Source organism: Homo sapiens, chromosome 9 (genome assembly GCF_000001405.40).
Source record: "Homo sapiens chromosome 9, GRCh38.p14 Primary Assembly".
Taxonomy (NCBI): domain Eukaryota; kingdom Metazoa; phylum Chordata; class Mammalia; order Primates; family Hominidae; genus Homo; species Homo sapiens.
This window is the reverse complement of record NC_000009.12, coordinates 96968236-96991798: the sequence shown is the minus strand read 5'-3', so window position 1 is coordinate 96991798 and position 23563 is coordinate 96968236. Positions and strand designations below refer to the sequence as shown.

At 40.7% G+C, this 23563-nt stretch overlaps 1 pseudogene across 3 annotated transcripts in view, besides 2 other annotated features; it reads left to right on the top strand.

Moving 5' to 3' along the window:
- The window catches only part of SLC71A3P (solute carrier family 71 member 3, pseudogene), a 70693-nt pseudogene that overhangs the window by 21807 nt on the left and 25323 nt on the right, over nt 1-23563 (top strand). For all 3 annotated transcript variants that reach the window (NR_172875.1, NR_172876.1, NR_172874.1), the window contains exon 2: nt 18851-18946. The product of NR_172875.1 is annotated as a solute carrier family 71 member 3, pseudogene, transcript variant 2 (transcript). The remainder of the gene's footprint in view (nt 1-18850; nt 18947-23563) is intronic.
- Nucleotides 2589-3089: an enhancer, noted in NCBI's record as "H3K4me1 hESC enhancer chr9:99750992-99751492 (GRCh37/hg19 assembly coordinates)". NCBI's record gives its function as "activates a minimal SCP1, AML or CMV promoter by ChIP-STARR-seq in naive H9 embryonic stem cells {active_cell/tissue: H9 hESC(naive)}" and the evidence as "EXISTENCE:reporter gene assay evidence [ECO:0000049][PMID:30033119]".
- Nucleotides 14413-14621: a silencer, noted in NCBI's record as "fragment chr9:99739460-99739668 (GRCh37/hg19 assembly coordinates)". NCBI's record gives its function as "represses an EF-1alpha promoter that drives an FKBP-Casp9 reporter gene in an ReSE screen in K562 erythroleukemia cells {active_cell/tissue: K562}" and the evidence as "EXISTENCE:reporter gene assay evidence [ECO:0000049][PMID:32094911]".

The following is a 23563-nucleotide window of genomic DNA, read 5'->3' as shown; positions in this document are numbered from 1 at the left end:
CCTAGGCAAAATACTGAAACCCCATCTCTACTAAAATACAAAAATTAGCCAGCTGTGGTGGCACGCACCTGTAGTTTCAGCTACTGGGAAGGCTGAGGCATGAAAATGTCTTGAACCCGGGAGGCGGAGGTTGCAGTGAGGTGAGATTGCACCATTGCACTCCAGCCTGGGCAACAGATGGGGAGACTCTGTCTCCAAAAAATTAAAGTAAAATGAAAACAAAGTGGGGTGGGGTTGGCAAACTTTTTTTTGTAAAGGACCTGGTAATAAATGTTATAGGGTTTTTTTGGCCATATGTTACTCAGCTATGCCAGTATAGCACAAAAGCAGCCATAGACAGACAATATGTAAATGAACGAGCATTGCTAAGTATCAGTGAAACTTTATAAAAAATAAGCAGTGGACTAGATTTGGACTGTGGGCTGTAGTTAGCTAACCCCTGCTCTAATGTATTTTTTTTCTTTTTTGAGACGGAGTTTCGCTCTCCTTGCCCAGGCTGGAGTGCACTGGCAGGAACTCGTCTTACCACAACCTCTGCCTCCCAGGTTCAAGCAGTTCTCCTGCCTCAGACTCCCAAGTAGCCAGGATTACAGGCATGCGCCACCACGCCCAGCTAATTTTGTATTTTTAGTAGAGATGGGGTTTCTCCATGTTGGTCAGGCTGGTTTTGAACTCCTGACCTCAGGTGATCCACCTGCCTCGGCCTCTCAAAGTGCTGGGATTATAGGCGTGAGCCACCGTGCCTGGCCTCTAACATTTAATAGTACTAATTTTTCCTCTGTCCCTTTCTTTTTCTCCTTCAGGATGTTTTTATATTCTTGTCCATTTATTTTTTAAAATAAAACTTTTTTATAGAATAGTTTTATATCCACAGAAAAATTGCAGATAGCATAGAGTTTTCCTATACTCCATACCCATATTCCCTTATTATTAACATTTTACATTGGCATGGTACATTTGTCAAAATTAATGAGCCAATGTCCATGCACTATTATCAGCTAAAAGCAGCCAGGCATGGTGGCTCACACCTGTAATCCCACTACTTTGGGACGGTGAGGCCAGAGGATCACTTGAGACCAGGAGTTCAAGACTAGCTTGGGCATCGCTCTTCAAACAAGCAAAAATTACCAGGCATGGTGGTGTGTGCCTGTAGTCCCAGCTACTTGGGAGAGTGTTTGGAAAAAAAAAGAAAAAAAAAATCCACTGCCAAAGAAAAAAACCCTAAAGTCCATACATACTTTACTGAGATTTCTTGTATTTTACTGAATGTTCTTTTTCTGTTCCAGTATCTCATGCTACTACATTACATTTAGTTGTTGTGTCTTCTTGGGCTCCTGTGGACTGTGACAGTTTCCTAGGCGCTCCTTGTTTCTGATGTCCTGGACAGTCTTGAGGAGGACTCATCAGGTGTTTTGTAGAATGTCTCTCAATTGAGATTAATCTTGATGTTTTTCTCATGATTAGAGTGGAATTATGGGTGTTTGGGAAGAAGCCCATAGAGATGAAGTACCATTTTCATTATATCATATCAACAGTATGTGCCACTGTTGATGTTAAGCTTGATCACCTGGCTGAGATACTGTTTATCATATTTCTCCACTGTAAAGTTGCTCTTTTACCCGTTTCTATACTGTACACTTTGGAAGGAAGTCACTATGTGCAGCCCACACTTTCAGAATGAGTAGTTATATTCCACCTACTTGGGGGCAGAGTGTCTGCATAAATTATTTGGAATTCCTCTGCATGGGAGATTTGCTTGTTCTTTTCTATTTAATCATTTTATCAGTATGAACTCATAGATATTTATTTTGTACTTTGGATTATCCCCAAATCCAATATTGCTTTATTTTCTTGTTCAAATTGTTCTAGCTTTGGCCATTGGGAGTGCTTTGACATATATAACCCTATCTTTGTTTTTTTTTTAAAACACTTATGTTCCTGGACCAAACTGAGAGTTGGGCTGCTACTTCTTAAGGCCCAATAATGAGATGCAGATGAACTGGGGAGGAAGAAAGTTTTTATTTCTGCAATGGGTTACAGGGATAATACCTGGAAATTATCACCAGGCCAACTCAATATTACAAAGTTTCCGTAGCTTATATACCTTCTAAGTTATATGTCTACCTGTAAGTGTGCATTCATCTTAATGATTAACTTCTTTTGGTCCATAACTAAGGTCTGAGTCTTGAAGACCTTCCTCTGGAGCCTCAGTAAATTTACTTAATCTAAATGGGTCCAGGTGCTGGAGTGATTACCGTTATCTTGTCTCCTGCTAAATCACGGAGGTTTGGGAGTTCCTTCACACCCCAATAAACTTGTTTGTGGAGGCCTGGGAAGTTTCTTTAGACCCACAGTAAAACTTGTTTAATCCTAAATGGGCCTTAAGAATTCCTTCATTATTTTGTCATGCTTTAAGGCCCAGGAAAGGCCTAGGCAAAACTCTTGGTGGGCTTTTGTTAAATTCCAGCCTTTGCATAAGGGTACTGGCTCTTCCCCTCCCCCCCGTCGCGCCCTCCGAGATGGAGTCTTGCTCTGCTCTGTCACTGAGGCTGGAGTGCAGTGGGGCAGTCTTGGCTCACTGCAACCTCCGCCTCCTGCGTTCAAGCGATTTTCCTGCCTCAGCCTCCAAAGTAGCTGGGATTACAGGCACCTGCCACCACACCCAGCTAATATTTTTGTATTTTTAGTAGAGATGGGGTTTCACCATTTTGGCCAGGCTGGTTTCGAACTCCTGACTTCAGGTGATCCGCCCACCTTGGCCTCCCAGAGTGGCTAGGATTACAGATGTGAGCCATTGTGCCCGGCCGGCTCTTTCAGCTTTTAACATTTAACTTAACTACTCAGTCTGTACAGAAACAGTTGTTTTGGGGGCCTGAGTTAGTGAGACCTGGCCTGCCATGCTTATATTCTGGGATTACAAGATACTCCACGCTCCTCTTACATATTTCCCACTCTAGTCCCAGAATTAGCTGTTTCTCCAAGGAGCCCTGGTTTCTTTTATTTGAGAATGGCATTTGAAACCAAGATGTGTCACACTAGATACGCTTATTGCTGTTGAGTTTCTAGGGTGTAGTTTCTTTCAGGCTCTTTCAGCTGATACAGTGAGGAAACAGGTGTATATAATACACACATTTGTAAGTATTTCCATTTGTGACCATCTGTATCTATATGAAGTTAAAAATGAGTTCATAATGATGTGCCCAACTCTAATCCATGATTACATGGATCATTCTTGCTTCCTTCTCTTGTTTATTTGTAACCTTCCACTCCAGCAGTGAGAAACCTGGCTCCCACCATCTGCCATCCAGTTTATTTAATTGGTCAATCACAGCATACATGGTTCCAGAATTGTTAATCTTTATTTCCATGGGGTACAACTTTCAACTATAGCATAACAGTGTTTAAGTTACAGAAATGCCAGGTGGTCGATCTAGGTCCTGTTTCTCGCCACACAGAAAGCCAATCACTGAGTTGAGTATTGCCAGGGAAAAAGCCTTTTTTTTTTTTTTTTTTTTTTTTTTTTTTTTTTGAGATGGAGTTTCGCTTTTGTTGCCCAGGCTGGAGTGCAATGGTGCGATCTCAGCTCACTACAACCTCTGTCTCCTGGGTTCATGCGATTCTCCTGCCTCAGCCTCCCGAGTAGCTGGGATTACAGGTGTGTGCCACCATGCCTGGCTAATTTTGTATTTTTAGTAGAGATGGGGGGTTTCCCCATGTTGGCCAGGCTGGTCTCAAACTCATGACCTCAAGTGATCCGCCCGTCTAGGCCTCCCAAAGTTCTGGGATTACACCCAGAGCCACTGCGCCCGGCCAGAGAAAAATTTTGCCTTTTTATTTAGGTGTTGCCTACTGAAGAGAATGGGAGATCAGTTTCGAATCTGCCTCCTCGACCAACTAAAACTGGGGAGTTTATGTACCGAAAAAAGGAATGTAACTATGTGTGAGGAAAACAGCAATTAGAAAAAGGATAAGGAAGCAGTCCTGACCTATGAGGGGAAAGAGGTGTCTGGGGTCTCATTGTCAAATGGTGATTTGGTGAGTTTCAGTCCGTTGCCTGAGGAAAGAACTCATTGGAGACAAATATAAGTTTTAGGTTTTAAAACTGGAAGGGTCAGTTTCTATGTTTATTCAAAGACCTGTACACATAATTTCTATGGGGAAATTGAGCCAGTTTCATTTATGCGCAACTTTTTTTGCCTCCAGTCTTAAAGGAAAAAAAAAAAACAACTGATAATATTTGTTGCCTATGATAAAATTCCAGCTTCCAAATGAAAAAAAAAAAAAAAAAAAAAGACTCCACTATTTCCCAGAGTTACTTGGATCACTGCCTTTCCCCATACCCCCTTTAGTGAGGTTGTTTCATGTGTTTGTACTGCAATTAGATTCTTTTGCTACATTCTGCATTCCATCCTGGGATTCTCCACCTCTGAAATGTTTTCTAAAAGTTAACATGTACTGAGGCTCACTCTTGTTCTCTGAAGTTCTGCTGGTTTTGAAAAATGCGTGGTGCCGTTTACCTATCATTAAAATATCATACAGAACAATTTTACTACCTGAAAGTGTCCTCTGCTTCATCCATTTAACCCTACCCTCCAACTCCAGCTACCACTGATCTGGTACTATCTATAGGTTTGCTTTTTCCGGAATGCCCTTTAAATGGTATCTTACAGTTTGTAGCCTTTCAGACTTGCTTCTTTCATTTAGCAATATGCATTTCAGATCCATCATTCTAACACTCTTGTTGTTTTAATTTGCATTTTAAAATGACAGTGACACATAATGAACATCTTTTTCTTTTTTTTTTTTTTTTTTTTTTGAGACGGAGTTTCGCTCTTTCATGTGGGGTCAACTGCAATAGAAAAGAGGACCCTCAAACACAGGCTAATTTTTTTGTTGTTGTTTTTGAAACAGAGTCTCACTCTGTCACCCAGGGTGGAGTGCAGTGGCGTGATCTTGGCTCACTGCAACCTCCGCCTTCCAATTTCAAGCATTTTCTCCTGCCTCAGCCTCCCAAGTAGCTGGGATTACAGGCGTCCGCCACCACAACCAGCAAATTTTTTTGTATTTTTAGTAGAGATGGGGTTTCACTGTGTTGGCCAGGCTGGTCTTGAACTCCTGACCTCAGGTGATCAAGACCTGGGCCTCCCAAAGTCCTGGGATTACAGGCGTGAGCCACTGCGCCCAGCAATGAACATCTTTTTATAGGCATATTTGCCATCTGTATATCATCTTTGAGGAGACTGTTGCGGTCCTGTCACCCCTCCCCCTTTTTCTTGTTGACGATCGGGATTTATTACCTCATTTAACAAGAAATCTGATGGAAAGACAGTTCCAGGATTGGTCCTTGATTTTGCGTCAAGGACCAGGTTCTTTCCATCTTCGGTGTGTTGATTTGTCTGGCTCTCATGGTCTCAAGATGGCTGCCATAGTTCAGTTACAGGAAAGGGGTCCCAATCCAGACTCCAAGAGAGGATTCCTGGATAGACCTCGAACAAGAAAGAATTCAGGGCAAGTCCCTAAAGTGAAAGCAAGTTTATTAGGAAAGTAGAGGAACAAAAGAATGGCTACTCCATAGACAGAGCAGCCCCGAGGGCTGCTGGTGCCCATTTTTATGGCTATTTCTTGATTATATGCTAAACAAGGGGTGGATTATTCATGCCTCCCCTTTTTAGACCTATAGGGTAACTTCCTGACGTTGCCATGACATTTGTAAACTGTCATGGCACTGGTGGGAGTATAGCAGTGACGATGACCAGAGATCACTCTCATTTCTGTCTTGTTTTTGGTGGGTTTTAGCCAGCTTCTTTACTGTAACCTGCTTTATCAGCAAGGTCTTTATGACCTGTATCTTGTCCTCCCTATCTTCATCCTTTGAGTTAGAATTCCTTAACTGTCTGGGAATACAGCCCAGTAGGTTTCAGTCTCATTTACCCAGCTCCTATTCAAGATGGAGTCGCTCTGGTTCACATGCCTCTGACAGTTCTAGGCTTCACATACAGTTAAAGTATTCCAGAGGCAGAAAAAGAATCTCTGCTCTCTTTTCTCTCTATTGCATTTTAAAAATTGAGATACATTCACGTACCATACAGTTCATCATTTTAAAAGTATACAGTTTGGTTTTTTAATATATATTCACGGTGTTGTAGAACTATCACTATCTAATTCTAGAACATTTTCATCTCCCCAAAAAGAGTCCCTATATCTATCCATTAATGTCACTCTCCATCTCTCCCTTTTCTCAGATCATTTGCCCATTTTTTAATTGGTTTGTTGTATTAGTGACTTGTAAGGGCGCTTTCTATGTTCTTAAGTTCTTTATCAGATAAGATTGTTGCAGATACTTTCTTCCAATCTGTGGCTTATCTTTTCATTCACTTACCAGTGTCTTTTGCAGAGCAGAGGTTTTTAATTTTAGTGAAGTCCAATATATCAACTTTTTCTTGCATGTGGCATGACTTTAGTCTTGTACCTACAGACTCATCTTGAAACCATGTGACCAAGTTCACTTATATTTTCTCCTAATAATCCTCTAGAAGCTAATAGTTTTGCATTTTATTTTTAATGCATGATGTAGTTTGAGTTACTTATTTTTATTTTAGTTTATATGCATAACATAGTTTTTAAAGTTTCAGTTCAATAGCATTAAGTACATTCACATTGTTGTGTACTCATTACCACTGTCTGTCTCTAGAATTTTTTCATCATCCCAAACTGAACTCTGTGCCCATTAAGCAATAACTCCCTAGCCCCTGGTAGTCACTATTCTACTTACTGTCTATGAATTTAATTACTGTGGGTACCTCATATAAGTGAAATTATGCCATATTTGATTTTTTGTGACTGGCTCCTTTCTTTTCCTTTCCATTTCCATTTCACTCTTGTTGCCCAGGCTGGAGTGCAGTGGCGCGATCTCGGCTCACTGCAACCTCCGCCTGCCGGGTTCAAGTGATTCTCTTGACTCAGCCTCCCAAGTAGCTGGGATTACAGGCACCCGCCACCACGCCTGGCTAATTTTTTTGTATTTTAGTAGAGACGGGTTTGCACCATGTTGGCCACGCTGGTCTCAAACTCCTGACCTAAGGTGATCCACCCACCTCGGCCTCCCAAAGTGCTGGGATTACAGGCATGAGCCACCGTTACCAGCCGTGACTGGCTTATTTCACTTACTACAACGTCCTTAATGTTCATCCATGTTGTGACAGTCAGTCTCCTTTTTTTTTTTAAGGTTGAATGATATTCCATTGTATACATGTACCATATTTTGTTTAAACATTCATAAGTTGAACACTTGGGTTGCTTCTACGGTTTGGCTGTTGTGAGAGAATTCTGTGAATTTGGGTATATAAAAATCTGTTCAAGTCCCTGCTGTTGTTTCTTTTGAATAGATAGCCAAAAGTGGAATTGCTGGGTCATGGAGTAATTCTATTTTTAATTTTTTGAGTACCTGCCAAACCGTTTTCCATAGGGGCTGCACCATTTTACATTCCTACCAACAGTGTGCAAGGCTTCTAATTTCTTCATGTCCTTGCCAGCACTTAATTTCTTATTTAAGAAAAAAATCACAGCTACTGTAGTCTGAATGTGTCTCCCAAAATTCATGTGTTGGGAACTTAATTCCCAGTGCAGGAGTAATTGGGAGGTGGCGCCTTTTGGGAAGGGTTTATGTCATGAGGGCTACACCATTATCAATGGATTAATGCTGCTATTAAAAAGGCTTGTGGGAGAGGGCTCACCCGCTTTTGCCCTTCCACCTTCTGCTTTGTGAGGATGCTGTAAGACTGTCCACCCCAGATGCTAATACCTTGTTTTGGACTTCCCTGCGTCCAAAACTGTGGGAAAATAAATGTCTGTTATTTATAAACTACCCAGTCTCAAGTATCCTGTTACAGCAGCACAAAACAGATTAAGACAGTAGCCATCCTAATGAGTATATGGTGATACCTCATGGTTTTGATTTGCATTTCCCTAATGATAAGTGATGTGTATCTTTTCTTTTTTCTTTCTCTTTTTTGTTTTTTTGGGGGACAGATTTTTGGTCTGTCTCTTAGGCAGGAGTGCAGTGGTGCAATCTTGGCTCACTGCAAACTCCGCCTCCCGGATTCAAGCAGTTCTCCTGCTTCAGCCCCCAGAGTAGCTAGGAACACAGGCATGCGCCACCATGCCTGGCTAATTTTTGTATTTTTACTAGAGACAGGGTTTCACCATGTTGGCCAGGGTGGTTTCAAATTCCTGATCTCAAGTGATCTGTCTGCCTCAGCCTCCCAAAGTGCTGGGGTTACATACATACATGAGCCACCGCGCCCGGCCTATGTGTATCTTTTCATGTGCTTCTTGGCCATTTGTGTATCTCTTTTAGAGAGGTCTATTCAGTTTCCTTGCCTGTTTTTAATTGAGTTGTTATTTTGTCTGTGAGTTGAAAAAGTTTATTATATATTCTAGGTATTAATCTCTTATCAGATATGTGATTTGCATGCATTTTGTGCCATTCTGTAGATTGCCTTTTCACTGTCTTGATAGTATCCTTTGATATATGAAGGTTTTTCATTTTGATGAAGTTTGATTTTTATGTATTTTTTCTTTTGTTGGCTGTTCTTTTGGTGCCATATCCAAGAAGTCATTGTCAAATCCAATACCAGGAAGCCTTCCTCCATGTTTTCTTCTAAGGGTTTCATAGGTTTTGCTTTTATGTTTAGATTTTTGGTCCATTTTGAATTAACTTTTATATATGGTTTAGGGTAGCGATCCAACTTCGTTCTTTTTAATGTGGATATCCAGTTTTTCCATCACCATTTGCTGAAAGACTGTCCTTCCTTTCTTATTAAATGGCCTTGGTACCCTTGTTGCATTATCATTTGTGACATATATGTATTTACTTCTGGGCTTTTTATTTCCAGGCTTTTAATTTATTTTTTTAAAAGACTAGGCCGGGCGCAGTGGCTCATGCCTGTAATCCCAGGACTTTGGAAGGCTGAGGCGGGCAGATCACGAGGTCAGGAGATCGAGACTATCCTGGCTAACATGGTGAAACCCCGTCTCTACTAAAAATACAAAAAATTAGCCGGGCATGGTGGCGGGCGTCTGTAGTCCCAGATACTCGGGAGGCTGAGGCAGGAGAATGGCATGAACCCGGGAGGTGGACCACGCTTGCAGTGAGCGGAAATCACGCCACTGCACTCCAGCCTGGGCGACAGAGCGAGACTCCGTCTCAAAAAAAAAAAAAAAAAAAAAGACTGGGCTTTGCCATGTTGCCCAGACTGGACTTGAACTCCTGGGCTCAAGTGATTCTCCTGTCTAAGCTTCCTCAGTGGGTAGAAATACAGGCACACACCACCATGCCCACTTGGGCTTTTTATTCTGTTGGTCTACATGTCTGTTTTTATGCCAGAACCACACTGTTTTGATTGCCATATGTTTATAGTAAGTTCTGAATTCAGAAAGTGTGAGATAATTTTTTTTCTTTTTCAAGATTGTTTTGGCTATTGGGGGTCCCTTAAGATTCTATATAAATTTTAGGATGGAGTTTTCTCTTCTTGCAAAAAGCATCATTGGGATTTTGATAGGACTGGCATTGAATCTGCAGATCACTTTTGGTAACAGTGATACCTTAACTATATTAAATCTTTAAATCCATGAACATGGGATGTCTTTATGTTTATTTATACCTTCTTTAATTTCTTTCAGCAGTGTCTTACAGTTTTAAGCATAGAGGTCATTCACCTTCTTGGTTAAATTTATTCCTAAGTATCTTATTCTTTATGATGCTATTGCAACTTGAATTTTTTTTTTTTTTTTTTTTGAGGCTGGGTGTCACTCTTGCCCAGGCTGGAGTGTAGTGGGGTGATCATAGCTCACTGCAAACTTGAACTCCCAGTTTCAAGTGATCCTCCCACCTCAGCCTCCTGAGTAGATGGGACCACAGGTGTGCGCCAGCACGTCTGGCTAAGTTTTTTGATTATTATTATTTTTTGAAACACAGTTTCACTGTCGTTGCAGGCTGGAGTGCAGTGGCACAATCTCGGCTCACCACAACCCCCACCTCCTGGGTTCAAGCGATTCTTCTGCCTCAGACTCCCATGTAGCTGGGATTACAGGCAGGCACCACCACACCCAGCTAATTTTGTATTGTTAGTAGAGACAGGTTTTCACCATGTTGGTCAGGCTGACCTCAAACTCCCAACCTCACATGATCTGCCTGCCTCGGCTTCCCAAAATGCTGGGATTACAGGAGTGAGCCACTGCGCCCAGCCGTTTTTTGATTATTAGTAGAGACAAAGTCTCACTATGTCGCCTGGGAGGGCCTCAAATTCCTGAGCTCATGCTGTCTTCCTGCCTTGGCCTCCCAAAACATTAGGATTACAGGTGTGAGCCACTGCACTCAGCCCAATTTGAATTTTTTAAGTTTCATTTTAACATTGTTAATCTTTAGTGTATAGAAATGCAGCTGATTTTTAATGTTGATTTTGTATCTTGTAACTTTGTTAAATTCATTTATTAGTTGTAACAGGTTTTTTGTGTGTGGAATTTTTAGGGTCTTATGAGATCTTGTCATCAGCGAACAGAGATAATTTTACTTCTTCATTTCCAGTTTGGATGCCTTTTCTTTCTTTTTCTTGCCGTATTACTCTGGCTAGAATTTCCAGTATTGTATTATACTGAATAGAAGTGGGGAAAGTATGCATCTTTGTCTTGTTTCTGATCTTAGAGGAAAAGTTTCCAGCCTTTTTCCAGCCTTTCCCCATTGAATATGATGTGAAGTATGGGTTTTTCATATTTGGCCTTTATTATTTGAGATAATTTTATTCTTTTCTTAGCTTTCTAAGTGTTTTTATTATGAAAGTGTGTTGAATTTTGTCAGATGCTTTTACTGCATCAATTAAGATGATTATGTGGGTTTTTCCTCTTTATTTTAATGTGTTGTATTACATTGATTGGTTTTCATAGGTGAACTGTTATTACATTCTTAGAATAAGTCCTTGGTTATGGTGTATAACCATAATAAACTGCTTAATAAACTGTTGAATTTGGTTTGCCAATATTTTGTTAAGGATTTTTGCATCAATGTGCATAAGGAAAATTGGTCTGTAGTTTTCTTTTTTTTTTTTTTTTGAGATGGAGTCTTGCTCTGTCACCCAGGCTAGAGTGCAGTGGCATGATCTCAGCTCACTGCAACCTCCGCCTCCCAGATTCAAGCAATTTTCTGGCCTCCATCACCTGAGTAGCTGAGATTACAGGCACGCACTACCACACCCAGCTAATTTTTGTATTCTTGGAAGAGGCGTGGTTTCACTATGTTGGCCAGGCTGGTGTCGAACTCTTGACCTTGTGATCCACCCGCCTCGGCCTCCCAAAGTGCTGGGATTACAGGCATGAGCCACTGTGCCTGGCTCTATAGTTTTCTTGTAGTGTCTTTGTCTGGCTTTTTTAGAGTATGGCAGTACTCCCTGATCTGTGATTTTGCTCTCTGTGGTTTTGCTTTCCATGGTTTCAGTTACCCGAAGTGGGCTGAGGTTTGATAATCCTAAATGGAAAATTCCAGAAATAAAAATTCGTAAGTTTTAAGTTACACGTCACATTCTGAGTAGTGTGATGAAATATTTTGCCATCTTGCTCCATTCCTTCGTCCAGCATTTACACTCTATATGCTGCCCATCTGTTAGTCAGTCAGCCATCAGTTATCGGATGGACTGCAGTATCACAGTGCTTGTGTTCAAGTAGCCCTTATTTTATTTAATAATGACCAAAAGCACAAGAGGACTGTGCCTAATTAAAAATTAAACTCAATCATAGGTGTGTGTAGGAAAAAACAGTATATACAGATGGTCCCAAATTTGATGGTTGGACTTCAGATTTTTCAACTTTACCTTCATGCAAAAGCAATATGCATTGAGTATGCACCTCTACTTACGATTGGGTTGTCTGGATAAGCCCATCGTAGGTTGAATATATCATAAGTCTAAAGCGACTTTCAAGTTAGTATATTTTCAACTTACAGTCGGTTTATTGAGACGTAACCCCTTTGTAAGTCGAGGAACAGCTGTATAGGGTTTGGTACTTTTCGAGGCATCCACTAGGGATCTTGGAATGTATCCCCCTTGGATAAGGGGGCAACTACTGTAATGCTGGCTTCAGAGAGTGAGTTAGAAAGTGCTCTCTCCTCTTCATGTCTTGGGAAGAGGTTTAATTCTTTAACTCTGCTGGAATTCTGGGAGGTTTTTGATTACTGATTCAGTCTCCTTACTAGTTATAGGTCTATTTATATTTTCTGTTTCTTCATGATTCATTTTTAGTAGGTTATGTGTTTCTAGGAGTTTGTCCATTTTGTTTCATTTATCCAGTTTGTTGGCTAATTGTCTATGAGACTCCCTTATAATCCTGTTTCTGTAAGGTTGACCATTATTATCTTCTGTTTCATTTCTGGTATTAGTAATTCAGGTCTTCTGTTTTCTTGGTTTGTCCATTAGTTTGATATTTTCATTAAATCAATTTTGGTTTTGTTGATTTTCTCTTCCCTTTCCTTTTTCTGTTTTTTTTTTTTGTTTTTTGTTTTTTGAGACGGAGTCTCGCTCTGTCACCCAGGCTGGATTGCAGTGGCACGATCTCTGCTCACTGCAAGCTCCCCTGCCTCCTGGGTTCAAGCGATTCTCCTGCCTCAGCCTCCCAAGTAGCTGGGACTACAGGCATCCGCCACCACGCCTGGCTAATTTTTTTTATTTTTAATTTTTAGTAGAGATGGGGTTTTACCCTGTTAGCCAGGATGGTCTCGACCTCCTGACCTCGTGATCCACCTGCCTCAGCCTCCCAAAGTGCTGGGATTACAGGCCACTGCGCCCGGCCTCCTTTTGTTTTTTAAGGCAAGGTTTCACTCCCTTCTCCCAGACTGGAGTACAGTGGTATGATGATGGCTCATTGCACCCTCAACTTCCTGGACTCAGGCGATTCTCCCACTGCAGCCTCCCAAATAGCTGGGACTATAGGTGTATGTGCCACCATGCTTGGGTAAACTTTTTCTTTTTTGTATTTTTAGTAGAGACAGGGTTTCACCATGTTGCCCAAGCTGGTCTTAACTCCTGGGTTCAAGTGTTCTGCCCGCCTTGACCCCCCAAAGTGCTAGGCTCACACTGCACCCGGCCTGATTTTGTTGATTTTTCTGCATTGCTTTTCTATTCTGTATCACGTTTGTATCTGCTCTGATCTTTCTTTCCTTGCTTTGAGTTTAGTTTGCTCTCTTCTAGTTTCTTACGGTGGAAAGTTAAATTATTGATTTGAGATCTTTTATAACCACACATCTATAGCTGTACACTTTCTGTTAAGCGCTGCTTTAAGCTGCATTCAACTGGGGTGTTACATTTTCATTTTTGTTCAAATGAAAGTTTTGTAACTTTCCTTGTGATTTCTTTTATCTGTTATTTAGGAGTATGTTTAAATATTTTAATATTCATGAATTTTCCAAATTTTCTTAAGTTAATGATATCTAATTTCATTCTGTGTGGTCAAGAACATAGTTTGTATAAATTAACTCCTTTTAAATTTATTCAAACTTGTTTTACAGTCTTCTCATGTGCACTTGAGGATTTATATCTTGTTGGGAAGAGTGTTCAATAAATGTCTGTTAGGTTTAGTTAGTGTACAGTGTTACTGAAGTCTTCTATTTCTTGCTGATCTTCTAATTGTTCTATCAGTTACTGAAAATGGGTATTGAAGTCTCCAGCTATTGTTGATTTGTGTATTTGTGCCTTTTATTTTTAGAGAGTATTGATGCCGGTAGGTGAGGACGATGGCTTTTTTTTTTTTCCTAAACGAGACTGGAGTCTCACTTTGTGGCCCAGGCTAGAGTGCAGTGGTGCAGTCATAGCTCATTGTAGCCTTAAACTCCTGCGCTCCAGCGATCTTCCTGCCTCAGTCTCCTGAGGAGGTGGTACTACAGACACATGTCACCATGCCTGGTTAATTTTTAAATTTTTTGGAGAGATCGAGTCTCACTGTGTTGTCTATACTGGTCTTGAACTCCTAGCCTCAAGTAAATCTCCCACCTGCCGCCTGAGCCTCACAGAGTGCCAGGATTACTGGCATGAGCTACTGCACTGGGCCTATTTTTTTTCCCCCCTAAGAGATGGGGTTCTTGCTGTGTTGCCCAGGCTGGACTTGAACTCCTAGGCTCAGGTGATCCTTCCAAATAGCTGGGACTACAGGTGCACACCACCGCTCCTGGCTGAGAATGATAATTTGATGTTGCATTGTATAAATGTTTTTAATATTGATTCTAAAGGGGTCCTATAAATCAATATGAAAGATTAAAGTCACCAATAAAAAATTGACAGAAGATGAATAGGCAGTTCACAGAAAAAGAAATGCAAATTCCTAATCATGGGAAAGAAGCTCAGCTTCATTGGGAGTAAGGGAAATACAAAATAAAATTAGATAACCATTAAAAAAATCAAATTAGCAAAAATTTTAAAATTATTATTATTTGAGATGGAGTCTCACTCTGTCCCCCAGGCTGGAGTGCAGTGGTGTGATCTTGGCTCACTGCAGCCTCCGCCTCCTGGGTTCCAGTGGTTCTCCTGCCTCAGCCTCCTGAGCAGCTAGGATTACAGGCACTTGCCGTCACGCCTGGCTAATTTTTGTATTTTTAGTAGAGATGGGGTTTTGCCATGTTGGCCAGGCTGGTCCTGAAATGCCTGCCTCGGCCTCCCAAAGTGCTGGGATTACAGGCATGAGCCACCGCACCTGGCAAAAAATTAAAAAATTATTATGCAGTCTTAGGATATGGCAGGACAGGTATCCTCCAGAATTGTTAAGGAGACTGTAAGTTGTTCTTTTTTTAAATTGTTAATGAGACTGTAAGTTCTTTTCTTTTTAGCAATCTGTTTAAAGCTTTTTTTGTGGTTACCTTTACATATTATTAGGAATACCTCCCCATATTCATCACCCTACTGCAACAAGGCCAATCTTGTTTTACCTGCATTTTCTGTATACTGGTTTATGTCTTGACTGCATTGAATCCAGGTTTTTTGTTTCACTTTGTTTTTTCAAAGAATACTTCTTAAGTGGTGGTATTTTTTTGTTGTATTACATCATGTGGCAAATGATCTCTGTCTGTGATGTTATGATTGATCAGGTTTCAGGTGTTATCAGTTTGATTATTCCCTTGTACCTTGTCAGCTTTTACCCAGTGATTTCAGTGGCCGTTAATGGTCATGGCCTAGATTCACTATTTCAGTAAGGCTGTGAAGTGGCAGGATTCTAAGTTAATTATTCCTTTCTTCATTCGTTAGCCGATGTTTTTTTTTTTTTGAGACAGAGTTTCGTGCTTGTTGCCCAGGCTGGAGTGCAATGGCGTGATCTTGGCTCACTGCAACCTCCTCCTCCCAGGTTCAAGCCATTCTCCTACCTCAGCCTCCCTAGTAGCTGGGATTACAGGCACCCACCACCAAGCCTTGCTAATTTTTGTATTTTTAGTAGAGATGGGGTTTCACCATGATGGCCAGGCTTGTCATGAACTCCTGACCTCAAGTGATCCGCCTGCCTCAGCCTCCCAAAGTGCTGTGATTATAGGTGTGAGCCACTTCCCCTGGCCCAGAGTTAAGTTTTGCTGTTACAGTGTTTTAGCTTTGTGCATATGGCACCTCATAGTTTAAGGATAAAGTAGAATTGTTGCTTCAAAGGGTAAATATATAATTTGTCTAGATGTTGCTGAATTTTCTTCCATAGTGGTGTACCATTTTTCATTCCTATTTGCAGTTTGTGTTTCTTTTCAGTTGCTTCATCAATAGTTTACAAACGTTTGAATTTTTGAATTTTTAATGTCTGATACTGAGAACTTGTGTTTGAATTTAGCTTAATTTTGCATGTTTCTTAATACAAGTGAGGCTACTAAGGGACATTTGATTTCAGTGAACTGGTTCATATTTCTTGCCAATCTTTTTATTGGGCTGTTAGTCTTTTTCTTAACATTTTTAGAAGCCTTTTATATGTTAGAGATAGTTGATTAGGTGACATAAGATGAAGTATTTTTTTGACTCCTAATTAGTGAAACCTTAAAATTATAATTGGATTCTAAATTAGAATGTGTATATTCTTTGGCCCTGCAACTTCACTTCTAGAAATTTATCCTAGAATGCTAATAAAAGGATATTAATAGTCCCACCATTTTCACCCTTATGTGTATAGCCAGGGGAACTGGAAACATGTTCATACAAAAACTTGTACATCAATGTTTATAGCAGCATTATTCATAATAGCCAAAGATGGAAACAACCCAAGTGTCTATGAACTGATGAATGGATAAACAAAATGCAGTATATCGATGCAGTGGAATATCATTTAGCTATAAAATTGAATGAAATACTGACACATGCTACAACATGGATGAACCTTGAAAATATGCTGATTGGAAGAAGCTAGACACAAAAGGCTACATGTTGTGTGATTCCATTTATGGATTCTATTTATGTATGATCCCAGAATAGGCAAATCCATAGAGACAGAAAGTAGATTAGTGGTTCTGAGGGGAAGTAGGGGGAGAAGGAAATGAAGAATGTCTCCTAATAGGTGTAGGGCTTCTTTTGGGGGGTGATAAACATGTTCTGGAGTTAGATAGTGGTGATGGTTGTATAATCTTGTGAATATTCCAAAAACCGCTGACTTGTGTGCACTTGAAAATGGTGAATTTTATGAGATGTGACATATTTTTATAAAATAAAATGTATAACCTCAATCTAATCATGAGAGAATATTAGATTAATTCAAATTGAGGGACACTCTATAAAATTATTGGTGAAGAGTATACTAGTATTCCCTGAAAGTATCAAGATCATGAAAGTAAAAAAATAAAAGTCTTGGGAACTGACTTAGATTGGAAGAGCCTAAAGAAATGTGAGAACTAAATGCAGTGTTAAATCTTTGATTAGATTCTGAACCAGAAAAAGAAAATGGGAAAAATGGCAAAATTCAAATAAGATATGTAGATTAAAGTTTTGTAGCAATGCTAATTTCCTGGTTTAGATAATTATGCCATGGTTATAGAAGATTTTAACATTTGGGGAAGCTGGGTGAAGGATATACAGGAACTCTTGGTTTTTGCAACTTTTCTGTAGGTTTAATATTCCAAAATTTAAAAAGTTAATTGCAGCAGTTTTAAATAAGTGAAAATTCCATGTACTCCTATCAATATTCGATTGGTTAAAATTATGGCACATTCATACAATGAGATACTGAGTAGTTAGCTATTAAAAAGAATGTGGGCCGGGTATGGGGGCTCATACCTGTAATCCCAGCACTTTGCGGTAAGCTGAGATCACGCCACTGCACTCCAGCCTGGGCAACAAAGCGAGACTTCATCTCAAAAAAAAAAAAAAAAAAAAAAAAAAAACTAATTAAGAAACAACCCTTATACTTAATGGCTTAAAACAACAACCATTTATTACTATTCTTTGGGTTAGGGGTTTGAGTGGAACTCAGCGAGAGTTCTTCACTGATTTCTCTCGGTGTGTCTCATGCTTCTGCAGTGACCTGCAGGCCTGATTGTAATTGGGTCGTCTAAGATGGCCTGGCTCCTATGTCTGACAGTTGGTGATGGCTGTTAACTGGTTTGTCTGTGAGGCCTTGATAGGGAGAGTTTCTTATCCTCTCATATGCCTGTGGCAGGAAGATATTTCTCCTTGTGGTAGTCTTGATCTTTGGCAATCTAGGTTCAGAAATCCATGTTTTGTCTTCACCTGACTGTTGGTTAGAGGAAGTTGTCAAACCAGCTTTGATCTAGGGACATGGAGAAACAGATTGAACCTTTTGATGGAATTGGCAGCAAAGTCATATTGTGAAAATGTGTGTGTACAGGAATGAGAGCAATTTGTAGCTCTTTGTTTTTGCAGTTCCTTGTTTTCGCAGTTTTCCACAGGAGTGATGGAATAAGATTTGTATTTTTAAAAAGTTCACTCTGAGTGTAATGTCACCACAAGTTTGGAGGGGACAGGGAAAACGAGTCAAGGCAGGGTTAACAGGTCATTGCAGTAATCTGTGGGAGAGATGATAAATAAGAGCGTGCAAAGACATTATTGCACACTTTTCATCCTCTGCTTCTAAACATCTCTAGAATTGGGATATCTCAAGATATTCCATACTGATTTAAAGTCATCCGAGCTGCCCCTCAGGCCTTTGAGCATGTGATGCCCATACCCATCTCTCTTATTATGTCGGTAAAGAAACTTCAGCCCTAGAGAAGTTAAGTTGCTAAGGAACACGTAATTCGTAAGGGACAGAGCAGTCAGATCTTGGAAACTTAGTTTCTTGAAGATCCAGTTGATTTTCTACTAAAGCTCCAGTGATTTGCGTCGATGGGATAGATCGAAAGTCTATAATCTTTTTTTCTTTCAAGATGGAATCTTGCTATGTCGCCCAGGTTGGAGTGCAGTGGCGGGATTTCGGCTCACTGCAAGCTCCGGCACCCGGGTTCAAGCAATTCTCCTGCCTCAGCCTCCCGAGTAGCTGGGACCAAGTAGCCCGCCACCATGCCTGGCTAATTTTTGTATTTTTTAGTAGAGGTGGGGTTTCACTATGTTAACCATGCTGGTCTTGAACTCCTGACCTTGTGATCTGCCCGCCTTGGCCTCCCAAAGTGCTGAGATTACAAGCTTGAGCCACCGCGCCCAAGCGAAAGTCTATAATCTTAGCATCTTCCCTTATTAGGGAAAGTGAAGGCATCAAGGATAACACAGAATGAAGTTTTATTTTAAATGACAGAGGTAGGCCCTAAATTTTTTTACACATTTTTACACATTTTTTTCTATACCATTTTAAGATAATAGATTTCTTATATTTCTTTGCTAATTTTCATAATAACTTTCTTTTTTAGCTACAAGGCTTTGGCCCACCAAGTGTGTACCATGCTGCTATTGTCATCTTCCTTGAATTCTTTGCGTGGGGCCTTTTGACAACTCCAATGTTGACTGTAAGTATTGCTGAACTGGGTTTGTGTTTTGTAAGAGAAAGAGATAAGTTCTTAGGCATGTATCACTGTGTATGTCTAGATACGTGTTTGGGAGTAGCTCTTGATAGTGATTTAAAACAGCTTGTTTCATTGGTTTTTTTTTTTTTTTTTTTTCCATTGTGGTTTCTGAACCACATGTAACACAAAACACCTCTTTAAATATTCCTGGGTAGCACTGCACTCCTATTGAAGTAAACTTGGGGGTGCTGTTATACAAATGAACTGTATATGTTTAGGAAGATCTTTAAGATACTCTACAGCAGCAACTCCCAAACTTTTTTAGCACTAGGGACTGGTTTCGTGGAAGACAATGTTTCCACAGAATTGGGTTGGTTGGGGGATGGTTTCAGGATGAAACTGTTCCACCTCAGACCATCAGGCATTATTAGTTAGATTCTCATAATGAGCGCAACTTAGACCCCTCACATGCGCAGTTCAGAGTAGGGTTTGCACCCCTATGAGAATCTAATGCCGCTGCTGATCTGACAGGAGGCAGAACTCAGGTGGTAATGCTCGCTCGCCTGCTGCTCTGTGTGGCTGGGTTCATAACAGGCCATGGACTCATAGGGTCCTGTCCTACAGGAAATTGCAGAGCATTGTTGAAGTCTGTAACTTCTTTAGGAGGATGTTAATGGTCTTTGACTTAAGAACATAGTAAATAGCAGATTGGTGAGTACTTTGTAACAATGAGTAATAATTGTAGGAATGTCTAAATTTCAGTTTTTCGTAGCTTATCTATAGCCATTTCTTCAGAGGTGGTATTGAATATCTTAGCAAGAACTTGTACGTTTCATCTATGATGTAGTTAGAAGGAAGAGAGATGCCAAAGAAAAGATGGCGGGGGCAGATCTTAGGTGGCTTACAACTATTTAACACTTAATTTTAATAAAATATTTTAAACTGGAGTTAAGTTTCAGTTGTCTTAATTATTCTTTAAAAATTATTGATGGGCGGGGTACAGTAGCATATGCCTTTAGGCCCAGCTATTCAGTAAGCTGAGGCAGGAGGATTGCTTGAGCTCAGGAGTTCAAGTCTAGCCTGGGCAACATAGCAAGACCCCATCTCTAAAAAAACAAAAATTAAAAAAAAAAATTGGAGCTTAACTCTTCCTAATCATCATTTTGCCTTACTAAAGAATCCCTCTGGGTACGGATAATCTTTGTTCTTAAATAAGGTTTAGACAGCAGAGAACTTTAGAGGGTGGCTGTTAGCCTGTTAGCCTTACATAAGACTTTGTTGTGAACCTTTTAAAGTTTTTAATTCTTCTGGCACAGTTAAAATACAGTTTGAGGCCTGATGCGGTGGCTCACGCCTGTAATCCCAGCACTTTTGGAGGCCAAGGCTGGTGGATCACCTGAGGTCGGGAGTTCGAGACCAGCCTGACCAACATGGAGAAACCCTGTCTCTACTAAAAATACAAAATTAGCTGGGCATGGTGGCGCATGCCTGTAATCCCAGCTACTCAGGATTCTGAGGCAGGAGAATTGCTTGAACCCAGAAGGTGGAGGTTGCAGTGAGCTGAGATCGTGCCATTGCATTCCAGCCTGGACAACCAAAGCAAAACTCCATCTCAAAAAAAAAAAAAAAAATACAGTTTTATTCATTAAAAGTATAACTTGGGTGGAACACGGGACTTAAAAATTGCCTGCATCCTTAATCCTTTTTTTCTTATTACAGTAGTTTTTCCTTCATAGTAGGAAACCTATAGTAGGTTATTAGTTATTAGTTAATGAGGATAATTAGTCCCATTTTGAGTTTCATGAGATTCTAATTTTCCTCACTGTTTGCATAGTGCTGCCTGGGATATAGTCGGTGCTTAATAAATATATTCTTTGAACAAATACATGTGTTTTTTCAGGACACATTTTTAATATGAATATAGATAAACCAAATCACTTTTTTTCCCATTTAAAAAAATTATGGTAAAATACACATAACAAACTTACCATTTTCACTGTTTTGAAGTATACAGTTCAGTAGTATTAGATACATTTCATTATGTTGGGTATCTGTCACCACCATCCATCTCTAAAACTCATTTCATCTTTTAAAAGTGAAACTTTAGGCTGGGCGCGGAGGCTCACGCCTGTAATCCCAGCACTTTGGGAGGCTGAGGCAGGTGGATCGCTTGAGGATGGGAGTTCGAGACCACCCTGACCAACATGGTGAAACCCCGTCTGTACTAAAAATACAAAATTAACTGGGCATGGTGGTGCACGCCTGTAATCCCAGCTACTCGGAAGGCTGAGGCAGGAGAATTGCTTGAACCTGGGGGATGGAGGTTGCAGTGAGCCAAGATCGTGTCATTGCACTCCAGCCTGGGCAACGAGTGCAAAACTCTTTCTCAAAAACAAACAAACAAACAAACAAAAAAACCCAACTCTGTGATAGTTTGACTATGCTATAATGTGTGTAGGTGTGAATGTCTTTTTTGTTTATTTTACTTGGGGTTTGTTGAGCTTCTTGTTTCTGTAGATTAATGCTTTTCATCACGTTTGGGAAGTTTTTGACCATTATTTCTTCAAATATTTTTACTGTCTCTTTACTCCTTTTGAGACTCTCCTTATAGGTAAGTTCCCACCCCACCCCCCCGACAGAGTCTTGCTCTGTCACCCAGGCTAGAGTTCAGTGGCGTGATCTCAGCTCCCTGCATCCTCCGCCTCCTGGGTTCAAGCAATTCTCCTGCCTCAGTCTCCCGAGTAGCTGGAATTACAGGCGTGTGCCACCACGCCCGGCTAATTTTTGTATTTTTAGTAGAGACAGGGGGTTTCACCATGTTGGCCAGGCTGGTCTCGAACTCCTGACCTCCTGATCCGCCCGCCTCGGCCTCCCAGAGTGCTGGGATTACAGGCATGAGCCACCGTGCCTGGTCATAGGTAAGTGTTTCACACTTGATAATGTCTCATACATCTCTGAGGAGCTGTTTATTTATTTTTATTTTTTTGCCAATTGTTTTCTAAGCTTTTGTTTGAATAATTTCTATTTATTTGTCTTCAAGGTTACTGTTTCTTTCTTTGTTCATCTTAAATTGTCTGTGTTGTCACTTTAGTGGATTGTTGATTTTGATTACCAAATTTTTAACTGCAGCATTTCCACATTTCTTTTTTATAATTTTTATATTCTATTTGAAATTTCCTATTCACTGAGTGATTCACATACTTTTTTTTTTTTGGAGACGCAGTCTTTCTCTGTCACTCAGGCTGGAGTGCAGTGGCATGATCTCGGCTCACTGCAACCTCCACCTCCTGGTTTCAGGCGATTCTCAGCCTCCCGAGTAGCTGGGACTATAGGTGTGTGCCACCACGTCCGACTAATTTTTGTATTTTTAGTAGAGACAGGGTTTCACCATATTGGCCAGGCTGGTCTCGAACTCCTCACCTCAAGTGATCTGCCTGCCTCGGCTGGCCTCCCAAAGTGCTGAGATTATAGGCGTAAGCCACCACACCTGTCCCATACTTTCCTTTAATTCTTTTTTTTTTTTTTTTTTTTACGAGTGGGGTCTCACTATGTTGTCTAGGCTGGTCTCAAACTCCTGGGCTCAGGCAGTCCTCTTGCCTCAGTCTCCAAAAGTGCTGGGATTACAGGTGTGAGCCACCACACCTGGTCTCTTCTAATTCTTTAAACATGGGTTCGTTTAGTTCTTTGAACATATTTATAGTATCTGCTTTGAAGTTTTCATCTGCAATATTCAACATCTGGGAACACTCAGAGACTCCTCCTGTTGACTCCCTTTTTTTACCTGAGTGAGTTATATGTTCTTGTTTCTTTGCATATTGCAATCATTTTTTGTTAAAACCTGTATATTTAGATAATATAGTTTTGCAATTTTGGATTTTTTTTTTTAAGAGACAGGGTCTTGCCCTGTTGCCTAGGCTGAAATATAGTGGCACAATAATAGCTCACTGCAACCTCAAACTTCTGGGCTCAAGCAATTGTCCTGCTTCAGCCTCCTGAGTAGCTAAGACTACAGTTGTGCACCACCACGCTTGGCTAAAGCTTTAACTTTTTTTTCTTTTTCTTTTTTTTTTTGAGACAGTCTCTCTCTGTTGCCCAGGCTGGAGTGCAGTGGCGCGATCTTGGCTCACTGCAACTTCCGCCTCCTGGATTCGAGCGATTCTCCTGCCTCAGCCTCCCGAGTAGCTGGGATTATAGGCGCCCGCCACCATGCCTGGCTCTTTTTTTTTTTTTTTTTTGTATTTTTAGTAGAGACAGGGTTTCACCGTGTTAGCCAGGATGGTCTCGATCTCCTGACCTCGTGATCCGCCCGCCTCAGCCTCCCAAAGTGCTGGGATTACTGGCGTGAGCCACTGCACCCGGCCTTTTGTTTTTATTTTAGGGATGGGGCCTTGCTATGTTGTCCAGGCTGGTCTTGAACTCCTCCTCGCCTCAGACAGTCTTCTCACCTCAGCTTCCCAAAGCATTGGGATTACAGGCATGTGCCACTACACTTGGCCATGGATTTTGATTTTTTTCTCACCTTGAAGGTTGTTTTTGTTTTGCTTGTTTAGTAACTTGCTTGGACTAAATCTGTGAAGTCTCTACAGTATGCAGCTGCTGATGTCTCTTTTCAGTTTTTAT